This window comes from Homo sapiens, chromosome 6 (assembly GCF_000001405.40).
Source record: "Homo sapiens chromosome 6, GRCh38.p14 Primary Assembly".
In the NCBI taxonomy this organism is placed as follows: Eukaryota; Metazoa; Chordata; class Mammalia; order Primates; family Hominidae; genus Homo; species Homo sapiens.
The window spans coordinates 70,657,319-70,675,327 of NC_000006.12; the positions used below are offsets into that span (position 1 = coordinate 70,657,319).

Here is an 18,009-nt window from a genome sequence, read left to right on the forward strand (position 1 = left end):
TCTCGAACTCCTGACCTCAGGTGATCCACCCACCTGAGCCTCCCAAAGTGCTGGGATTATAGGAGTGAGTCACTGAGCCCGGCCTTGGGCCTCTTTTAGAAGGGCACTAATACCATTAATTAGGACTCTGTCCAGATGACTTAATCACCTTCAAAGGCTCCACATCTATCAGATTGGGGGTTATGTTCCAACATGAAAATCTAGGGGGACACAAACATTCAGACCATAGCACATTCCCCTCTACTTTCATCAAATGGTGCATGGCTCACTATCAATAATGTTGGTGCTCTACATAAATCTGTTCTATGACTTTTAAAATTTAACAAGCAAAAGAGGAATGCATTGGAAGACTTATGGGTGGTAGTCAAAGAATCTGAAGGAAAGCTAAAAAGTTAAGTCTTCAGAAAAAACAGGAGCTACAGTAGCTGTGAAGATCAAGAGAGCAGGATGAAACAGATGAACTGACGTCTATAGGGATGAATGATCTCCAACTGTTTCTGTCTTTGGGTTAATCCCCTTAAACTCGACTTGCAAGAGGAAAGTACCTGCATGGCCTAATTTAATCACTGTATGGCCTAATTTGGTCACATGCCTAGTACAGAGACCTTGGTTGACAGTCATGCCCTCGAAACTGTATTCAGTAGGGAAGAGGAATAGTTCCCCAAAGTAAAATTGGGGCAGTGCTGCTAGAAGAAGGGAGGAGGGACTCTGGGCAGACAAAAACAATAGATGTTTATTATACCCTTAAAAAGGCAGAACATACATCTTCCAACTTGTGTTCATGTCTTTTATCTTAAGTAGGATGAAATTGCTTATTCACTTATCTTCCCTTCAAATAACCAGGCTTAAGTTAAATTACTGCCAAGTTTAGATTTGTGAAAGCCGAGTCTACCTGATTAACTTTCATCCCAGATCAGTTTTGTTGTTACTGTTTTAGCTCTTGAAGTTGACAGTGTATTTCTGATTACTTAGAATTTATCTTTCAAAATTGAGATGCAGAAACTCTGTGAAATCTAATCTTAAGTGGGGAAAAGGCAGAAACATGAAATAAAATATAACTTGACCAAGATTGGAAGTGAATTGGGAGTGACATAAACAGGATTTTTGTGCATTAGGGTCCCTTTTTTTAAAAAACGTCACTTAAGTCTCAGTGGCTTACATCTGTAATCCCAGCACTTCAGGAAGTCAAGGCAGGAGGATCCCTTGAAGCCAAGAGTTTGAGACAAGCCTGGCCAACATAGTGAGACCCCCATCTCTACAAATTTTTTTTTTAAATTAGTTGAGTGTGGTGGTATGTGCCTATAGCCTAGCTACTCAGGAGGCTGAGGCAGCAGGATTCCTTAAGTCCAGGAGTTAGAAGCTGCAGTGAGTTATGATGGTACCACTGCACTCCGTCCTGGGTGACAGAGCAAGACCTTATCTCTAATTTAGAAAAAAAATGCTTAAAAAGTTATGTTTCTTCAATCTGCTTATCAAAGTTAAATGTTTTCACATGCGAGCACCTATATTGAACTTCATTTGCTCATTCATTCAGCAAACATTTATTAAGGGCTTGCCATGTGCATTAGTGGTATAGGCTCTGGAGATCTCTAAGGTGACAGTGAGGGAAGCTGATCCTCACTATAAAATATGGACAATAAACTACTTTAGGAGTGAGGGATCAGGGTATGACTGTTTTATTTACTAAGTTTTATCCCTAGTACCTATCACAGTGCTCGAAGCATAGAAATAACTAAAAAATATATTGTAGTTGTTGTTTTTTGAGACAGAGTCTCACTCTGTCGCCCAGGCTGGAGTGCAGTGGTGCGATCTCGCCTTACTGCAAGCTCCGCCTCCTGGGTTCACACCATTCTCCTGCCTCAGCCTCCTGAGTAGCTGGGACTATAGGCGGCCGCCACCATGCCTGGCTAATTTTTTAAACATTTTTTTAGTAGAGACGGGGTTTCACCGTGTTAGCCAGGATGGTCTCAACCTCCTGACCTTGTGATCCACCTGCCTTGGCCTCCCAAAGTGCTGGGATTACAGGTGTGAACCACCACACCCGGCCAAAAATATATTGTTGAATGGATGACTAGATGAACAGGGAGAGCCGTCAATTTTCCTGTCAAAAGACTGGTGGGGGGCCATGTGTGATGGCTCACGCCTATATTCCCAGCACTTTGGGAGGCCAAGGTGGGTGGATCACCTGAGGTCAGGAGTTTGAGACCAGAATGGCCAACTTGGTGAAACCCCGTCTCTACTAAAAAATATAGAAATTATGCAGGCATGGTGGTGCGCACCTGTAATCCCAGCTACTCAAAGGCTGAGGCAGGACAATTGGTTGAACCCAGGAGGCAGAGATTGCAGTGAGCTGAGATCATGTCATTGCACTCCATCCTGGGCGACAAGAGTGAAACCCTGTCTCAAAAAAAAAAAAAAAAAAAAAGGCTGGTGGGGTCAGGACTGTGGAGGATAATAAGAAGGGCAGTTCAGGAAAATTTTCTGAGTTGTTTAATTCTGCTTCAACAAAATGCTTCAAAGAATGGTTAGAGTTCCCATAGCCAAACTTGAGGCCTAGATACCCCTCTAATGGTTCCATCAGGCATCTGCCTTCAAATATATGTGTAAGTTGGTTTTCCTCTCTCCCTCGCAGGACTGCAGGGGTTGAATATGTTCTTCTGACTCCTTGTATCAAGCTTTTTTTTTGCGACTGGGGATACTAGTTGCCCATATGAGCACTCAAAAAATTTCAGTGTCTCTGTACTGGAGGGTAAAAAGCTGAGAAATTGGGATTTTGGAAATTATATTTTCCTGGCAGTGGGAGGTTGTGTGTAATTACATTTGGAAATGGCGAGTTAATGGGTGCAACACACCAGCATGGCACATGTATACATATGTAAGTAACCTGCACATTGTGCACATGTACCCTAAAACTTAAAGTATAATAATAATAAAATAAAAAAAATTACATTTGGAAATAATTCCAAAGGAAGGTGGGGAAGAATTGTGTGGAAGTAGCAAATTTTCAACAGAGACCTCCCTCTCCCCACACTGAGGAGAGTTCCTTGGTATCTGAGCATAAATTAAAAGAGTACACCAGTTGGGCTAAGTTTTTAGGAATCACAAACACACTAAGGTTCCCTGATGTTAACTTTTTTTTTTTTTTTTTTTTGAGACGGAGTCTCACTCTGTTGCCAGGCTGAAGTGCAGTGGTGTGATCTCGGCTCACTGCAATCTCCACCTCCCGGGTTCACGCCATTCTCCTCCCTCAGCCTCCTGAGTAGCTGAGACTACAGGTATGCACCACCATGCCTGGCTAATTTCTGTATTTTTAGTCGAGACGGGGTTTCACCATGTTGGCCAGGATTGTCTCAATCTCTTGACCTCATAATCCACCCACCTCGGCCTCCCAAAGTGCTGGGATTACAGGTGTGAGTCACTGCGCCCGGCCCCCTGATGTAACTTTTAAAGGCAAAACAAACAAAAAATCTAGGGTCTTTCCTGGGTTTCCTCTTTTTGTGGGTGTGTATATGATGTTTGTTTACCTATCTCCATAATAAATGTTCCTCTTTCCTCAATACATATGTGTTCCTCTTGACTCAATACACTTGATCTCTCTTTAACTCTTGTTATTGATGGGTCTAAATTGTTCTACTCTGTTTTCCATCTCAAGGGACAGCATAGCTTATAAAAAACCAGGGCCTCAGTGCCAACAAGACATAACCTCGAAAGCCAGTTTTGCTACTTAATATCTAGGCTTTCAACCAAGATACTTGATTGATAACCAAGATATCGATAACTTTCAACCAAGTACTTAACATCTCTGGGCCACAGTTTCTGTGCTGTTCAGTGATATTTCGGTTTCTCCTTCTAGGTAAATGGTAGGATTGCACTTCTGGTTCCCTTGACATTAGGAGGGTTCATGCATTTGCTTTGGCCAATGGCTTAAAAGTGGAAGTGGATATGTATTATTCCTGGGGAGAGACCTTTAAAAGTCATCTTCCTGCCTTTTCCCTGAAAAGTGATAGAGACTTTATCAGCCTGGTACCAGAGTGACGACAACATAGGGTAGAATCCCTATGAGCCCAATGCTCATGTAGCATGACCAAGAAGAAAATTCTATTGTCTGAAGCCATTACGATTTTGAAGTTATTTGTTATCTCAACATGAAATACCTCATCCTGGCTGATGTTTCCTGATGTGAAAAATAGTATAATAAGATTGATTACATTATTCCACAGTGGGAGATTAAAAAACACTGGTTCTTATTACTATTATGCTCATCCTCCCAGTTGTCTATACCTACTGCTCTTACCAGTTGTTCCACCTACACCCGCATATTTGGCTCATTCTTGTCCATTTCACTTGACCTAAATTTTTTCCTTCATTTTCCTACTCCATCACTTTCCCTCTTTACTTATATCCTCTGTTGAATCCTGGTTCCATTGTAGTCAAACTCCCTAAACCTGTTTCTCATCTTTTTCGTCTGACCAGAAACAAAAAATTAGAGTCAAAAGTGACCTCATCTCTCTAAGAATCTGCAAAAACAGACCCTTCAACTTCACTCCCCATCCAGCAAGCATCCATAGACACCTTGACTTCCAGGAGTTCATCAGGACAAGTTACTACACCCCTCTGAGAGGTGTCACTAGGCACTTCTCTTCATTTAGCTGTCCGCATCCTTTTCCTAACCATACCACATCACCTCTGGCCTCAAAGAAACCTATAATCATTGCTTGCTCCTACTTCACTTCTCACACACACTTTGGACACTTTCCTTACTTTACACTCAATAGTTAACTCTAGCACTGCTTCCTATCCTTGTACCTTTTTTCTTTTTTCCCTTCTAACCGTCCCCATCCCTCCCTCAATATTTCATGGAACCCTCCAGACAATCACAGGCTTTGGAAGTCTCATCAGATGATTTATCTTCTCTTGTTCTTGAGCTATGAAAGAAAACAATGAACTGTGCAGACCCATGACCACATGCTGTATGTACTGTCTAAAATGGAAATAATTGACTTTTCTGGAATAGTTGGCATTGGTTGGTGTTCACCCTTTCTTCTTCAAAACTGTTCCTTCCCTGGCTTCTGGTTCTCCACTGTTTTCAATGGTTCACCTTTCTCTGTCCACTCTTCATTTAGTAGGCAATCCCCAGAATTTTGTCTTTAGGTCTCTCCTCTCCTTTGTCTATGTGCTTTCTCCGGGGGAATGTCATCCATCTTTACAGCTTCTATGACCCTTTAAATGCAAATAATTCCCAAATGACTTTTACCAGCAGTAACTCCTCTCCAGAGTTCTAGAAGTCAATATACAATATCTCATTAGACACATGAAGCTGGATGTCCTAGGCACATCTTAAACTTAACATGTCCCCAAGCAAATGCTGCTTCTCCCCGACCCCAAATCTGGACTATCTCTTTTGTTCTTTCTTGTTTTTTCAGTGTCCTCTTTTTACTGTTTTGCAGAAGAATGCCCAACATACAACATGATTGCAAATATTTGGCTATGCAAAAGAGGAGATAGTGCTCAAATACAAATGGGAGACATGACTTTTTAAAAAATAAATATTTGCCAGGCATGGTGGCTCACATCTGTAATCCCAGCACTTTGGGAAGCTGAGGCGGGTGGATCACCTGAGGTCAGGAGTTCGAGACCAACCTGGCCGACATAGTGAAACCCCATCTCTACTAAAAATACAAAAAATTAGCTGGGTATGGAGGCAGGTGCCTGTAATCCCAGCTACTAGGGAGGCTGAAGCAGGAGAATCGCTCGAACCTGGGAGGCAGAGGTTGCAGTAAACCAAGATTGTGCCGTTGCACTCCAGCCTGGGCAACAAGAGTGAAACTCCATCTCAAAAAAATAAAAACTAAAATAAATAAATACAAAATAAATAAATAAATATTTAAACACAACTTGGGTTCTACAAGTGCCTGGACTACAGGTCTGTTTGAAGGAGCTGCCTTGTTTGTTGACCCATGGTGATGTCATAATTATCGCCAGTAATCAATGCGTGGATTCAGGGTGCCAATGGTTGAATATGATCATGGTGAACCCCTTTTCTAAAGCCTTCTCTAGTCCTCTACAGAGGTACTATGGCCAGGACCAAGAAAATGAAATTTCTCAAAGGTCAGTGGTCCATAACAGTTAAGTATGCTACATGATTCTCTTGGTTTTCATTTCTAGTGAGGAAACACACTTACTCTTCTTCAATTCCACATACAGGACAGGCCTAAAAGCTCCTCCCATATCTCTGAGAACATTAGACCATGCACTCTTGAAGAAGGCTTTCCCTTTTCCTCCTTAAAAATCTTCCTCCAGCAATTGAGGGTTCCCATGTGCAGTATGTTGGCTCCTTTGGGTCTGCACAGGGCCCAATGGGTAGAAGGTCATGTTGGCCGCACCACCACAGTCTGGGCAATCATCTGGCTCACCATGATGTGGTGGTCTTGGAGTCAGGGAGCATGCCTTAGGCCTTCAGGCTGCCCAGAAAAGGATGATGCCCTGCACAGAGATGCTGAAGCCCTGGTACAGGCCCCAGATCCCATCAGACTTACTTATCTTCACCAGACAGTCTCCTAGGTCTTTGAACCTGAATCCCAGCTCTGTGTACGATTTCCCAACATTGACCACCAGATGGGTTCTGGCAAAACCCAGCAAGTACACAAAACAGAGACAGGTGGCTCTGGCCGCCTTGTTGGAGGCCAGATTGTGGGCAAAACAGCTCTAGAACTGTGTGTGTTCATCCATACTCCCAGGAATAGCTGTGTCTGCTTATCCTTGAATGTGATGTTGAGGGCTTGCTTAAGAAAGTAGTCCACAATTCCTGTGCACTGCTGTCAGCTGTCACCTGCTTCCTAGCGCCTTGCATCTGCTACAGCAGCTTCACCTGCTCAATCAGGGCCACAACTATCTTGGCGACAGCAGCAGCAATGCCACCAGCCAGATGGTCCTTGGCAAAGGAGATCGCCTGTTGTGTCATGGTTGCAGAGCAGGAAGCTGAGCACATGGAGAACTGGGAGGATTAGTGCTGCTGGCTCAGCCCTGTGACTGCTGGACCTAGAGGCCTACCTCTTCTATTCTTGATCTGGGTTAACGGCATTACCATTTACCTTTCTCCCAACTTAGAAAGCTTGATGTTATTCTCACCTTCTTTCTCTTGCCCTCCACATACAGTCAGCTGCCAAATCTTGCTGCTTCTAATTTTAAACCATCATTTGATTCTGTCTCTCCCAAACCCTACGCTACTTGCTTAAAATAGGCCTTCATCATATCTTCTTTGGACTATTATTGAGACAGGCCTGTAATCTGTTCCCTTGATAAGTTTTTCCCCACCATGTTCTCCATACTGCCACTGTATGGAGAGTTACTGAGAAGAAAGCTTATCAAGCCATTTTTCCGTGTAAAAGCTTCTATTGGTTCTATAAACCCATGAGGTTCAAACTCTGTTGCTTGGCTACAAAGCTCTTAACCCTCTGGTGGCAATCTACCTCTCCATCTTGTTTCCTTTCCTACCTTCATGTTCTCCAAACACATTCTAGGTTTCTTGGGCCTCATATCCTCACTATGTCTAGCATATAACCCTGAACTTTCAGAAGTCCATACGTGTTTTTTAAAGCAATTCCTTTCTCTCCGCTCCACCCCCATTCACTTGAAAAATTCCCCCATCTGTTAAAAGCCAAGTTTAAGCATCACCTCCTCCGTGAAACTTTCCCAGATTTTCCCAGGCTACTGGATGTTCTGTTCCTTTTGCTCCGAGAACACTTTATAATTGCTATAAACTTTACAGTGTAGTCCTTTTCTATTTACATATTTGTAGCTCATAGTAGACTGTAAGCTTCTGATTATTAGTGTACTAGATAGAAGTTGTTTGATAAATACTGGTGAATAAATGCAATGTTGTTTTCTTCCCAGGATGTTTTGGGGACCAGTCTCTTTCTTCCTACTATAGTCTTAAAATACAATCAACTCAAATTTATATTTTAATAGCCTCTAAGCTGACCATCTAGAACCACACTATTCAATAATGTATCCACTAGTCACATGTGGCTGCTGAACATTTGAAATTCATCTACTCCAGGCTGGGCGCAGTGCCTCACACCTGTAATCCCAGCACTTTGGGAGGCCAAGGTGGGAGGATAGCTTGAGGCTAGGAGTTCAAGACCATGCTGGCCCACATAGTGAGACCCCATGGACCAGCAGGGTCTCGAACTCCTAGGCTCAATTTTTTGATAATTTCTTTATTAAAAAATAAATTCAGCCACTCCAAAATGAAATGAGCTGTGTTATACAGCATTTTGAAGAGAATATGAAAACAAGAATGGAAAGAAAATATGCCATGTTTTATATTACATCTCAAAAATATTTTGGATACATTGAGTTAAATCAAATGTATTAGTAAAATGTATTTTATGTTTCTTTTTCTGTTTTTAAATGTGGCTACTGCATTATTTAAAGTTATACGTGTGGCACGCAAGTATTTGTACTGGACATTGCTGTGACCCTTCAATCCATCCTGAAGGTTGTTTTTTGGTGGTAAACCTGTATTCTGTTTTTCTGAGTCCTCACAGTGCTGAACAGAATTTTTGTAGGGAGGAGAGGTACTCAAAAAATGGTGTTTGTTTACTGGTTACTGCAGGACTAACTTTCCCAAAAGATCCTTTTTATTATGCTATTATCCTACTTGAAGAATCTACAGGTTTTCTTTTTCTTTTTTTGGGGGGGGGGTGGGTGGGGAAGGAGTTTTGCTCTTGTTGCCCAGGCTGGAGTGCAATGGCCTGATCTCCGCTCACTGCAACCTCTGCCTCCCGGGTTCAAGCGATTCTCCTGCCTCAGTCTCCTGAGTAGCTGGGATTAAACAGGCATGCGCCACTACACCCGGCTAATTTTGTATTATCAGTAGAGACAGGGTTTCTCCATGTTGGTCAGGATGGTCTCGAACTCCCCACCTCAGGTGATCCGCCTGCCTCGGCCTCCCAAAGTGCTGGGATTACAGGCGTGAGCCACTGTGCCTGGCAAAAATCTACAGGTTTTCTACTGTCAATTTGCATCAAGGCCAGACTACTTTGTCTGGCTTCCCAAGTCTTCCATAACCCTATCATAGTTTACTTATGCAGCCTTATCTCAAAAGTAGTACCTTTTGTTCCAGTCTGTTTTCCAAGGTACTTCAGGTCTTCATGCTTTTGTGCAAGCTGCTCTTTCTTAATATCTCCCTCCCCAGTCCCCATCTAAATCCAGCGTATCTTCAGGACAAGGCTCGTAAGTTCTACCTCCCACATAATGTTTTTTTCTGTTCATTGGAACTCACCAATATCTCCCTAGTAGTTATTTGTCAGAGCTATGTAGTATAAGCTCTAATTTGTTTAATTACTGAGCATCTTCATTGCCATATCCATTCAATTTAATTCCAGAAACATTTTTGAGCCCCTGTGCCAAGAACAGGGCTAGGTAGCAATGAGGGTCACTTTTATGCAGGGACAGGGGCTAGAAATTGGCCTTACTAAGAAGTGTAAGACCGACTCTTGCTCATTGCCTTTCTTAGCATCTGCTTCATCGCAGGCAAGGACTGTGTTTATTTGGCTTGCATAAGCCCCATATTAGAACTTCCTCATAATATACAACATGCCAAATCATCGAAACTGCGTCACCCGGAGTTCAAACTTCATGAGCCTGGATTAGGGTCTGGGTTCCAATGAAAAGTGTTTTCTTTAGTTCTCTTTCTCTTGCATTAAGGATCACTATTTACACAGCTTCTTGTTAAAGTATCACCGCCTAGTACTTGGGTTCCTGGTCACACTTTCCCCCTTATGGAAGGGCTTACTGCCAGGTCTTTCAGACTCTGGAGCCAGACTGCTTTGGATTTAAATCTCAACTCCTCCACTAGTAGTTCTGTAATCTGGTCAGGTTACTTAACTCCTCTATGCCTCACTTTCCTCCCCTGTGTAATGAGGATAACAATATCATAAGGTTGGGGAAAGGGTTAAATGAGCTAACAGTTCGTTTAACAGAGTAATCACTCAATGAAATGTTATCCCCTAATACATGTCACTACTAGATTATTTCTCGCCCTTAAAATGTAAGAGACCGTTTTTCCTCTTTTCTTCCATCCGTGTCTCCAGCTTCTAAACTGCAGGCGAATAAACCTCGAATGAGTAAATGAACCCACCCAGTCGCTAGTTATTTCTGCATTTCCAATGTTGTGCCAGCAAGAGCAAAGGCAAATGGGCAAGTCAAAGTAGGCTTCTTGTAAAAGGTCTTCCATTACTGGGTTTTACTAGAGGCCCTTGCGGACCATCACATCTCAAAAGGGGGGAAAGCTCGTATGAGGCAGTGCCAGCTACCTTTCGGGAATCACCTTGGGCAGAAGGCCTTTTTGCAAAAAGACTCGGCAGCCCGGGCCCCGTAGGTTCGGCGCATGCGCAGCGCGCTCGGCGCCCGGGTTCCTTCCTCCGCGCCACCCGGAAGCCTCGGCGCGACCCAGTCCCCCTCCCCCTCCCCTCGCCGGCTAGGGTGGTGCGTGCCGGCAGGCCGGTCAAGGAGGCGGGACACGTCGGCGCTACCACCGCCACCGCCGCCGCCGCCCCTCCTCCCGTTCCAGCTGCCGCTGCCGCTTCCTGGGCTGAGTCCGCCCGCGGTCCCGGCGGCGCCAGGTGCGTTCACTCTGCCCGGCTCCAGCCAGCGTCCGCCGCCGCCGTAGCTGCCCCAGGCTCCCCGCCCCGCTGCCGAGATGGCGACGCGCTCCTGTCGGGAGAAGGCTCAGAAGCTGAACGAGCAGCACCAGCTCATCCTATCCAAGCTTCTGAGGGAGGAGGACAACAAGTACTGCGCCGACTGCGAGGCCAAAGGTAGCTTGGACGTCGTCGCTGCCCACGGTCGGGGCCTCTTGCGACCGGTGACCTTCCCGCCGCTGCGGCGCTCGGGGCCCGAGCGGACGCCTCGGCTTCGCTGGCCGGCTCCTGCCCTGACTGGAGGGCGGGTGGCTGAGCGGGCGGGCGCGGGGCTCCTGTCGACCCTCAAGTCCGCCAGAGGCGGCGGCGAGGTCAGGCCCGCAGGCCCTGTCAGTGGCCCCAGCCTCCCCTCCTCCCAGACACGGGTTTGAGCAGGTGCCAGGGTAGCGATGCTCGGACCCTCCACAGGGCTGGGGGTAGGAGCGAGGCTGGGAGCGCGGAACCGGGCACGGGTCTGGGCAGAGCTTAGGGTTAGAGAGTTGCCCTCCTAGCTCTGCTCATAGCTATCTCTGTGGGTGGGGCCGCGCTTAGGTCTGGATCCCCTCCTCTACCCTCCGGTGTGACCACGTCCTCCCACTCCGGGCTCGGATTCTTGGTCTCCTAGATGGAGCCCTACCTGCCTGCCCACCTGACAGCTTTTGTACAAGGCTTTTATCTCTGCTTCCTGAAAAAGAGTATGGTGGTCTTTTTCGGTGGGTTTGAGTTTTACGGAATAAATTAATTGGAGAAAGGTCTTTATTAGTAGTAGTATTGTTTTTTAGTCTGGTTATTAGCCAGAATGAAGAGGAATTTCATTACATGAGTCTCTTGGAGGACGGTGGGTTTGTATTTCTGAAGATTTTAGTAATTAGGTTTTCTCTGACCAGCTAGTTTGGGAGAATATGTGGACACTGATTTGTGTACCTCATAAATGCTGAAGGTTCATTTTAAAGATCTAGAGATGGAAAAAACCTAATTTTAGTTTTTTCGGTTGGAGGGCTTCTGCCTCAGCCTTTGAAACAGATATACTATTTTTAGCTGCTATGTTTTGTGTTTGGAGATCTGATTTATGTTTAATGTCTTGTAAGTAATCTCAAGGGAAATATTTCTTTTTTTTTTAAAGAAATGTCTTGTGTAGTTAAGAAAAGATCGTGTATATTTTTAATTGGTTTATTTCGTTATTGGGTGAGAAATAGGGTAGTTCTCTAAAGCAGGAGACAGTCTCTTTGGGGAATGTCCTTTAAGATTTCTGTGTTATTTGACTTAGACTTTTCCTGAAGCTTTACTGTTCTATCTCAATACTATATAAATGAGTCACATTTCAGTAGGCTGATAATATTTGACTAGACTGAGCCACACAGCATCAGCAGGTTACTTCACTGTCGTAACAGGTACTGAATTACTAGAAGAATCATGCGGGAATACTGTAACTAGATTATTTTTATGAAGCACTTTTCAATATAGTAACTTGATTGAGTCAAGATTATATTTATCCTATGTAACCTTTTCAGGTGATGAGTTTTTACAAAGTCCGTGCCTGGTTCTTGTAATACTTGTTTTCCTAGTAACTTGATTGTGTGTGGTTATTTGGGAGTTCTGCACTGTGTTTAGGCTCAGTTGCTTGCTCATTGACTGCACTAGCAAAACACTGAAAAATGGTCCTTTAAAAGGCCAAGAAGAAGAAAGAAGCTGAAGCTAAATAGTACACATTTTGTCATTTTGAGTAATAACATGGTTAAGTAGAGATGCTGGTAAATATTAAATCTGTTCATTAAAAGTCGAATAGTAACAGTTTCAGAATTAACCTTCCTTCATCTACAGACTTTATTAAAAATAATTTAATTTTTGTTCAAATTTCTGTCTCCAAAAAAGTACTTTATAAAATCAGATTTTCACTAATGCTTTCTAAAATAATACAGATTTTTAAAAGCCATTATTAACCATGTTAACTTTTTTTTTTTTTATTTACTCTTTTGAGGTGGGGAGAAGAGAATCATGTACTTCTTAAATTAGGATCAAAAGTTTTACTTCTTTGGACCTGAAGAATAGGAAGTATTCGTTTTGCTCAGTGTTTGTATTGCCACGGAAATCAGTAGATATATATTGAATGAATGTCTTTTGTATTTTGGTTTTGTCTGGCCTTTTGTTGGTTTACTTGTTTTGAGAAGTGAAGGAAGTGGGAGAGAAGAGAATGGTATCAAGAGTACAAGGGTGCAGCTTGAAGGGCATGAACTCCACAGTATAATTTACAAGGATTATTTTTTTCTTGTTGCTACTAAATCTAGAAGAATATTAAAATGATCTTGTAAATAATTTCATTGTTTTATCTTGATCTTTCAGGCAAAAAATCACAGGTAAGGCCACTTATTGATTTAATTAGACTTGATTTCATGGTTGTAATAATTGAAAAATTCGACATGATAGAGCAATTGATGTAAATATATTTTCACAGTTTTTGAGTATTTGGTAAGGTTGAAGTACATTATGGAGGCTTTTTTAGTAGAATTCTTGGCTTGTTACATGATTTTGGATCTATATGCTAGGATGACATAATAAATATAGTACTTTTAAAAGATATGTTAAAGGTCTTACTCTACAGCTCAGTTACTAAGAAGTTTCATTCTGTGTATGTATTGATGTTTTCTTCACTGTCTAGTAAATTGCATCAAACTTTTCATGTACTGTATTTCAAAGTTATTTCCTAGTTAACTCAATTTTCTTTCTTTCAAAGAAGCTTCTTCCACTGATCTTTGAGAATATGTACCAAAACTAAAGCTTAGGATTTGAGGTGCCTGTATTATCTTGCCTTATCATAGTTGGTAGAGGTATGTCAATTGGGTTTTGACATTTTCTTACTGAATCACCAGCTGTGTTTCCTGGATTGACAGTATTTAGGAAGCAACGAAGGAGAAAAGGATGGCATAGGCGCCAGTTTCCTGCTCTTGATCCTGCTCTTACCAAATCTGTTGAACAACTGGAGAATTTAAGAACAGGCAGATGGAACTACTCCTCCTCTCTCCTAGCTGCATTCATGACTCAGTGGGAGTTTAAAGCAGCTCTTGTTGGTTATTAGTTGGTGGCACTTTAGGGAGCAGTGAGGACTGGGAATGCCTTGCCAGCTTCAAGTTTAGTTTTCAGTATTTAAAGTGTTATCTACAGGTAATTCTAGCTTTGATTTTTGTTTTTTTTTTTCACTTCTCTATTCTTTCACATGCTCTGAATAGGGCATCTTGTGTTGGACATCAGGAGTAGCCTGAACTTGGCTGAGTAGGGCTCCTAGAAAACATCGCTGGGCTTGGCAGGTACCACATTGACATGTCCCATGCTTGTTAATGTATATTTCTGAGATTTTAAAAGTGCATTCAAGACCAGCCTGGCCAACATAGTGAAACCCCGTCTCCACTAAAAATACAAAAACCATTAGCCAGGCATGGTGGCAGGCACCTGTAATCCCTACGTGGGAGGCGGAGGCAAGAGAATTGCTTGAACCTGGGAGGCGGAGAGGCGGAGGTTGCAGTGAGCCGAGATCGCGCCACTGTACTCCAGCCTGGGTGACAGAACAAGACTCCGTCTCAGGGAAAAACAAAAACAAAAACAAAACATATAGATAAAATTCACATTGAGCGGTTTCTTCCCACTATCCCCTCTCCCCAGCCCTTGGCAGACACTATTGCATGTTCTATCTCTGTAGGTTTGGCTGTTCTGGATATTTAATATAATACAACATATGAACTTTTGTTTCTGACTTTGACTTCATATGTTTTCAAAGTTCATTCATTTTGTAGCATGTGTCGGTACCTCACTCCTTTTATGGCTGAATAATATTCCATTGTATGGATAGACCACAATTTATCCGTCTATTGATGAACATTTGGTCTGTTTCCATCTTTTGCTAGGTTTGATTTTGAGCATGTTTAAATTGGTATGAAAGTGAGTCTCTTGCCCATTCAATTTTGGGTAGTCAGAAACATAAGGTTTTTTAACTCTAGAGATTGTTTTGTTTAGCCTGTCTGATATTGAGAGGGTAAGCTCATTGCTGAGATCAAACACTCGTTTCTTTGTTCCGCAGATCTTGACTTGAAGACACACTGTTAGATATTGTATTAGGTAAGAGAGCTAAAAAAATTTGTAAGACCTAAAGGAGTTTGTTTAGTGTGGGTTGTGTTTTTGCAAATAAATGATTCTAAAACGATGTGCTAAGTGCTTGTAATAATGGTTTTAAGAAATAACTACCTCTATACTTATTTTGGGCTGTTGTTCCCCTTGCACCTTGACTTTTGCCCATTGGTGGTCTTTACAGTTCCTAGAATGCTGTTTCAAGACCTTTGCACGTGCTGTTCTTCTGCCTGGGAAGCTTTCTAACAAGTTTTTGCCTGCTCAGCTTTTGCTCATCTTTCAATTCCTGCTTAAATGTCTTTTCAAGGGAAATAATTCTCCTTGATCCTCTGAGATTAGGTTAGGCTTCCGTTTATACATAAAAGACAACACCCTGAATCTTTTATTGCACTTATCACAATTGTAATTAAACATTATTTAGGTAATTATGGGGTACACTGTATCCCTGCTGGATTATAGCTGTAAGAGAGGAGACCTTGTTTATCTTGGTTAGGGTAGTATCCCCAGTTTTCAGGACATGTGGTAGGCAAATGTAACTTAGCAAATATTTTTTGAATGAATGAATGTGTGAATGAATGAGCACAGAGCCCCTGGCAGGCAGCAGGGTGTGTGAAAGGGAGTGCACCTGTGAAAGGGAGTGGCATGTGGAGTGACCCTGTTGGGACCAGTCACAGAAGGAGTCTTCATTTGAGCTAGGTTCTGAAGGTGGAGTGGGATTTCATCAGATAGAGAAGGAATTAAAGGACACAGCTGCACACACACATGTACCAGTATGAAAGAACAGAAGAAGTTTCCATACGGCCCTTACTAGATAAGCTTTCTTTAAGCATGATCAGTTTTGGTAGTCTCAGGTCAGAGGAAGAACTGGGATAGTGAGGATTGCAGGCAAATCCTGAGTTAGGAGATGTTGAACAGTGGTCCAAGAAGAGGGCAAGAGGACCTAAATTCACACAATGTCAATATATAAGTCAGGGTATAGAGCAGGAAAGAGATCCACTGTAGCTATTTTCAGGAATCAGGTACTTACCAAGTCATTGGAAGGGCTGGAGGAGGGAAAGTCAGGGAGCCACTGCTGAACTGCTTTCAAGGCCACACATACCACCACTGCTACCGCTGCCCCACTGTCATAACTGCTTCTCACCCAGGAGACTGGTATGCTGATGGGGGCATAAGGCCTATGGAGCTGCAACCACTTAGTGTCTGTAGACGTTTTTTGTTAGTTGCCCTTTCTGTAGGAATGTGGCCTCTGTCCCACTTGTGCTTTCCATGTGCAGATAATTGGCAGATCCTAATTATGTCCAATACCTTGCCTTCAAGGGAGTCTTTTAGCTTTCTAACTTTTTCAAAAAGTAGAAACGTGTAGAGCCCATTTGATTGCAAGAGCCAATCCAAGAGTTCATGTTTTTCATTAAGTCTTTGATATTTTAGAGTTGTTACTTTTAAAGTGTAGTAATATTTACTAAAAAGTAAAGTTCACCTTGGGGAACTGGTGTTTATTATGATGTTGATGCTTATAGGACAAATTTATATAAGTGAAAGTCTGATTATAATTCACCTAAAGAAATTTGCCAATCTAAAAGTTTCCTCAAAATGTGAAACTTCAGTCTGATGGGTCTGTTGTTCTTGTAATTCTGCTGATCTCGAGGTTTTTCCTGATTGGGCAGAGCCCTGGTATCAGAGCTGAGATGGAAATCATTGGTCTCTGACTCATCAGTTTAAAACTTGGGCTGCATGTTGTCTCCCCTCCTTTTGTTCTTCACAGTTCTTCTTTGTCTTTTTTGTTTGTTTGTTTGTTTGTTTAAGATAAAACTTTCAGTACTTGACTTCATTAATTAAGGAGGCTTACATCTCCTAAATTGTTGCTGTACAAGATATATATATATATCTTTCTCCACCTTTATTAACCTATAACAGACTTGAATCCATGCTCTCTTTAAGGCAAAGTAGAATGTTTAAAACGATATACTTTATAAACTCAAAAAAGTGCTTTGGCATTTTTTTTTTCTTTTTTTTTCTTTTTGGTACAGGGTCTCACTCTGTCGCTGGGCTGGAGTGCGATGTAGGCTCTCTGCAACCTCTCCCTCCTTGGTTCAAGCAATCCTCCCACCTCAGCCTCTCAAGTAGCTGGGGCTACAGATGTGTGCGACCATGCCTACCTAATTTTTGTATTTTTTGTAGAGACCACGTTTCGTCATGTTGCCCAGGCTAGTCTTGAACTCCTGGGTTCGAGTGATCTGCCTCCCTCAGTCTCCCAAAGTGCTGTGATTACAGGTGTGAGCCACCACACCCAGCCCCTTTTGCTTATTTCAAACGCTTCTACTAATCGTCTTTTCACGGATTAGAATTAAGCCATTTTAGTTCAGTTTCTCAATTTTCTCAATGAAAGAAGATCAAAGAAACTTGGAGGCCATTTTGTAGTTATTATCAGAAGAGTTGACCGCCTTACATTCTTACCACTGTAAAGAGTTGATTTAACAGACATTTAATTTTGTTGATAAATCAATATTTTCTGGGCACTAAAAAGATTAAGTACTACGTTAGATACTACTGTGTGTGTTAAAAAAGTTTTGGATGCCGGGTGCAGTGGTTCATGCCTGTAATTTCAGCACTTTGGGAGGCTGAGGCAGGTGGATCATCTGAGGCCAGGAGTTTGAGGCCACCCCTGGCCAACATGGCAAAACCCTGTCTCCACTAAAAATACTAAAATTAGCCAGGTGCAGTGGCACATGCCTGTAGTCCCAGCTACTCGGGAGACTGAGGCAGGAGAATTGCTTGAACCCTGGAGGCGGAGGTTGCAGTGAGCCGAGATGGCGCCACTGCACTCCATCCAGCCTGGGCGACAGAGTGGGACTCCATCTCAAAAAAACAAAAACAAAAAGTTTTGGATATAGTTGTCTACAAGCTAGTTAGAGATCTCAGTAGACATGAAACAATTACCAGTTAACTTCTAATCTATGTTTACATTGGTAGATTCATTAGAAGTTTAGAGATAGGGTAGCTCCATTGTGACCTGGAGAATGTTAAAAAAAAAAAAAAAGCAAATAATAACATTACATATATACTCACAAATTATATAGTGTTTTTTTTTTTTTTTTTTTTTTTTTTACCAGAGATGATGTACTTCACACTTTACATATACTAACTCATATAATCTTCAAAACAACCTTTGAGGTAGGTAATATTATTACCCAGGTACACAGAACTTAAA

The 18,009-nt window shown here is 42.4% G+C and overlaps 1 protein-coding gene and 1 pseudogene across 9 annotated transcripts in view, besides 4 other annotated features; one reads left to right on the plus strand and one right to left on the minus strand.

Annotated features, from left to right (window-relative positions):
* Positions 649-738: an enhancer, noted in NCBI's record as "active region_24733". NCBI's record gives its function as "activates an Ori minimal core promoter by ATAC-STARR-seq in GM12878 lymphoblastoid cells {active_cell/tissue: GM12878}" and the evidence as "EXISTENCE:reporter gene assay evidence [ECO:0000049][PMID:35858748]".
* Positions 6,184-6,961, minus strand: SLC25A6P6 (solute carrier family 25 member 6 pseudogene 6; annotated as a pseudogene).
* Positions 10,347-10,746: a silencer, noted in NCBI's record as "silent region_17320". NCBI's record gives its function as "represses an Ori minimal core promoter by ATAC-STARR-seq in GM12878 lymphoblastoid cells {active_cell/tissue: GM12878}" and the evidence as "EXISTENCE:reporter gene assay evidence [ECO:0000049][PMID:35858748]".
* Positions 10,565-18,009, plus strand: part of SMAP1 (small ArfGAP 1) — a 194,133-nt gene continuing 186,688 nt past the window's right edge. For 6 of the 9 annotated variants that reach the window (NM_001044305.3, NM_001281439.2, NM_021940.5 and 3 more), the window contains exon 1: positions 10,565-10,823. In NM_001044305.3, the coding sequence (NP_001037770.1) occupies positions 10,706-10,823 (118 nt within the window). In that variant the 5' untranslated portion in view covers positions 10,565-10,705. Of the gene's footprint in view, positions 10,824-11,211; positions 11,399-18,009 lie in introns of those variants that run through there. The other 3 variants (XM_047419227.1, NM_001281440.1, XM_047419228.1) reach the window with 1 other exon arrangement.
* Positions 10,897-11,126: a silencer, noted in NCBI's record as "silent region_17321". NCBI's record gives its function as "represses an Ori minimal core promoter by ATAC-STARR-seq in GM12878 lymphoblastoid cells {active_cell/tissue: GM12878}" and the evidence as "EXISTENCE:reporter gene assay evidence [ECO:0000049][PMID:35858748]".
* Positions 11,247-11,306: a silencer, noted in NCBI's record as "silent region_17322". NCBI's record gives its function as "represses an Ori minimal core promoter by ATAC-STARR-seq in GM12878 lymphoblastoid cells {active_cell/tissue: GM12878}" and the evidence as "EXISTENCE:reporter gene assay evidence [ECO:0000049][PMID:35858748]".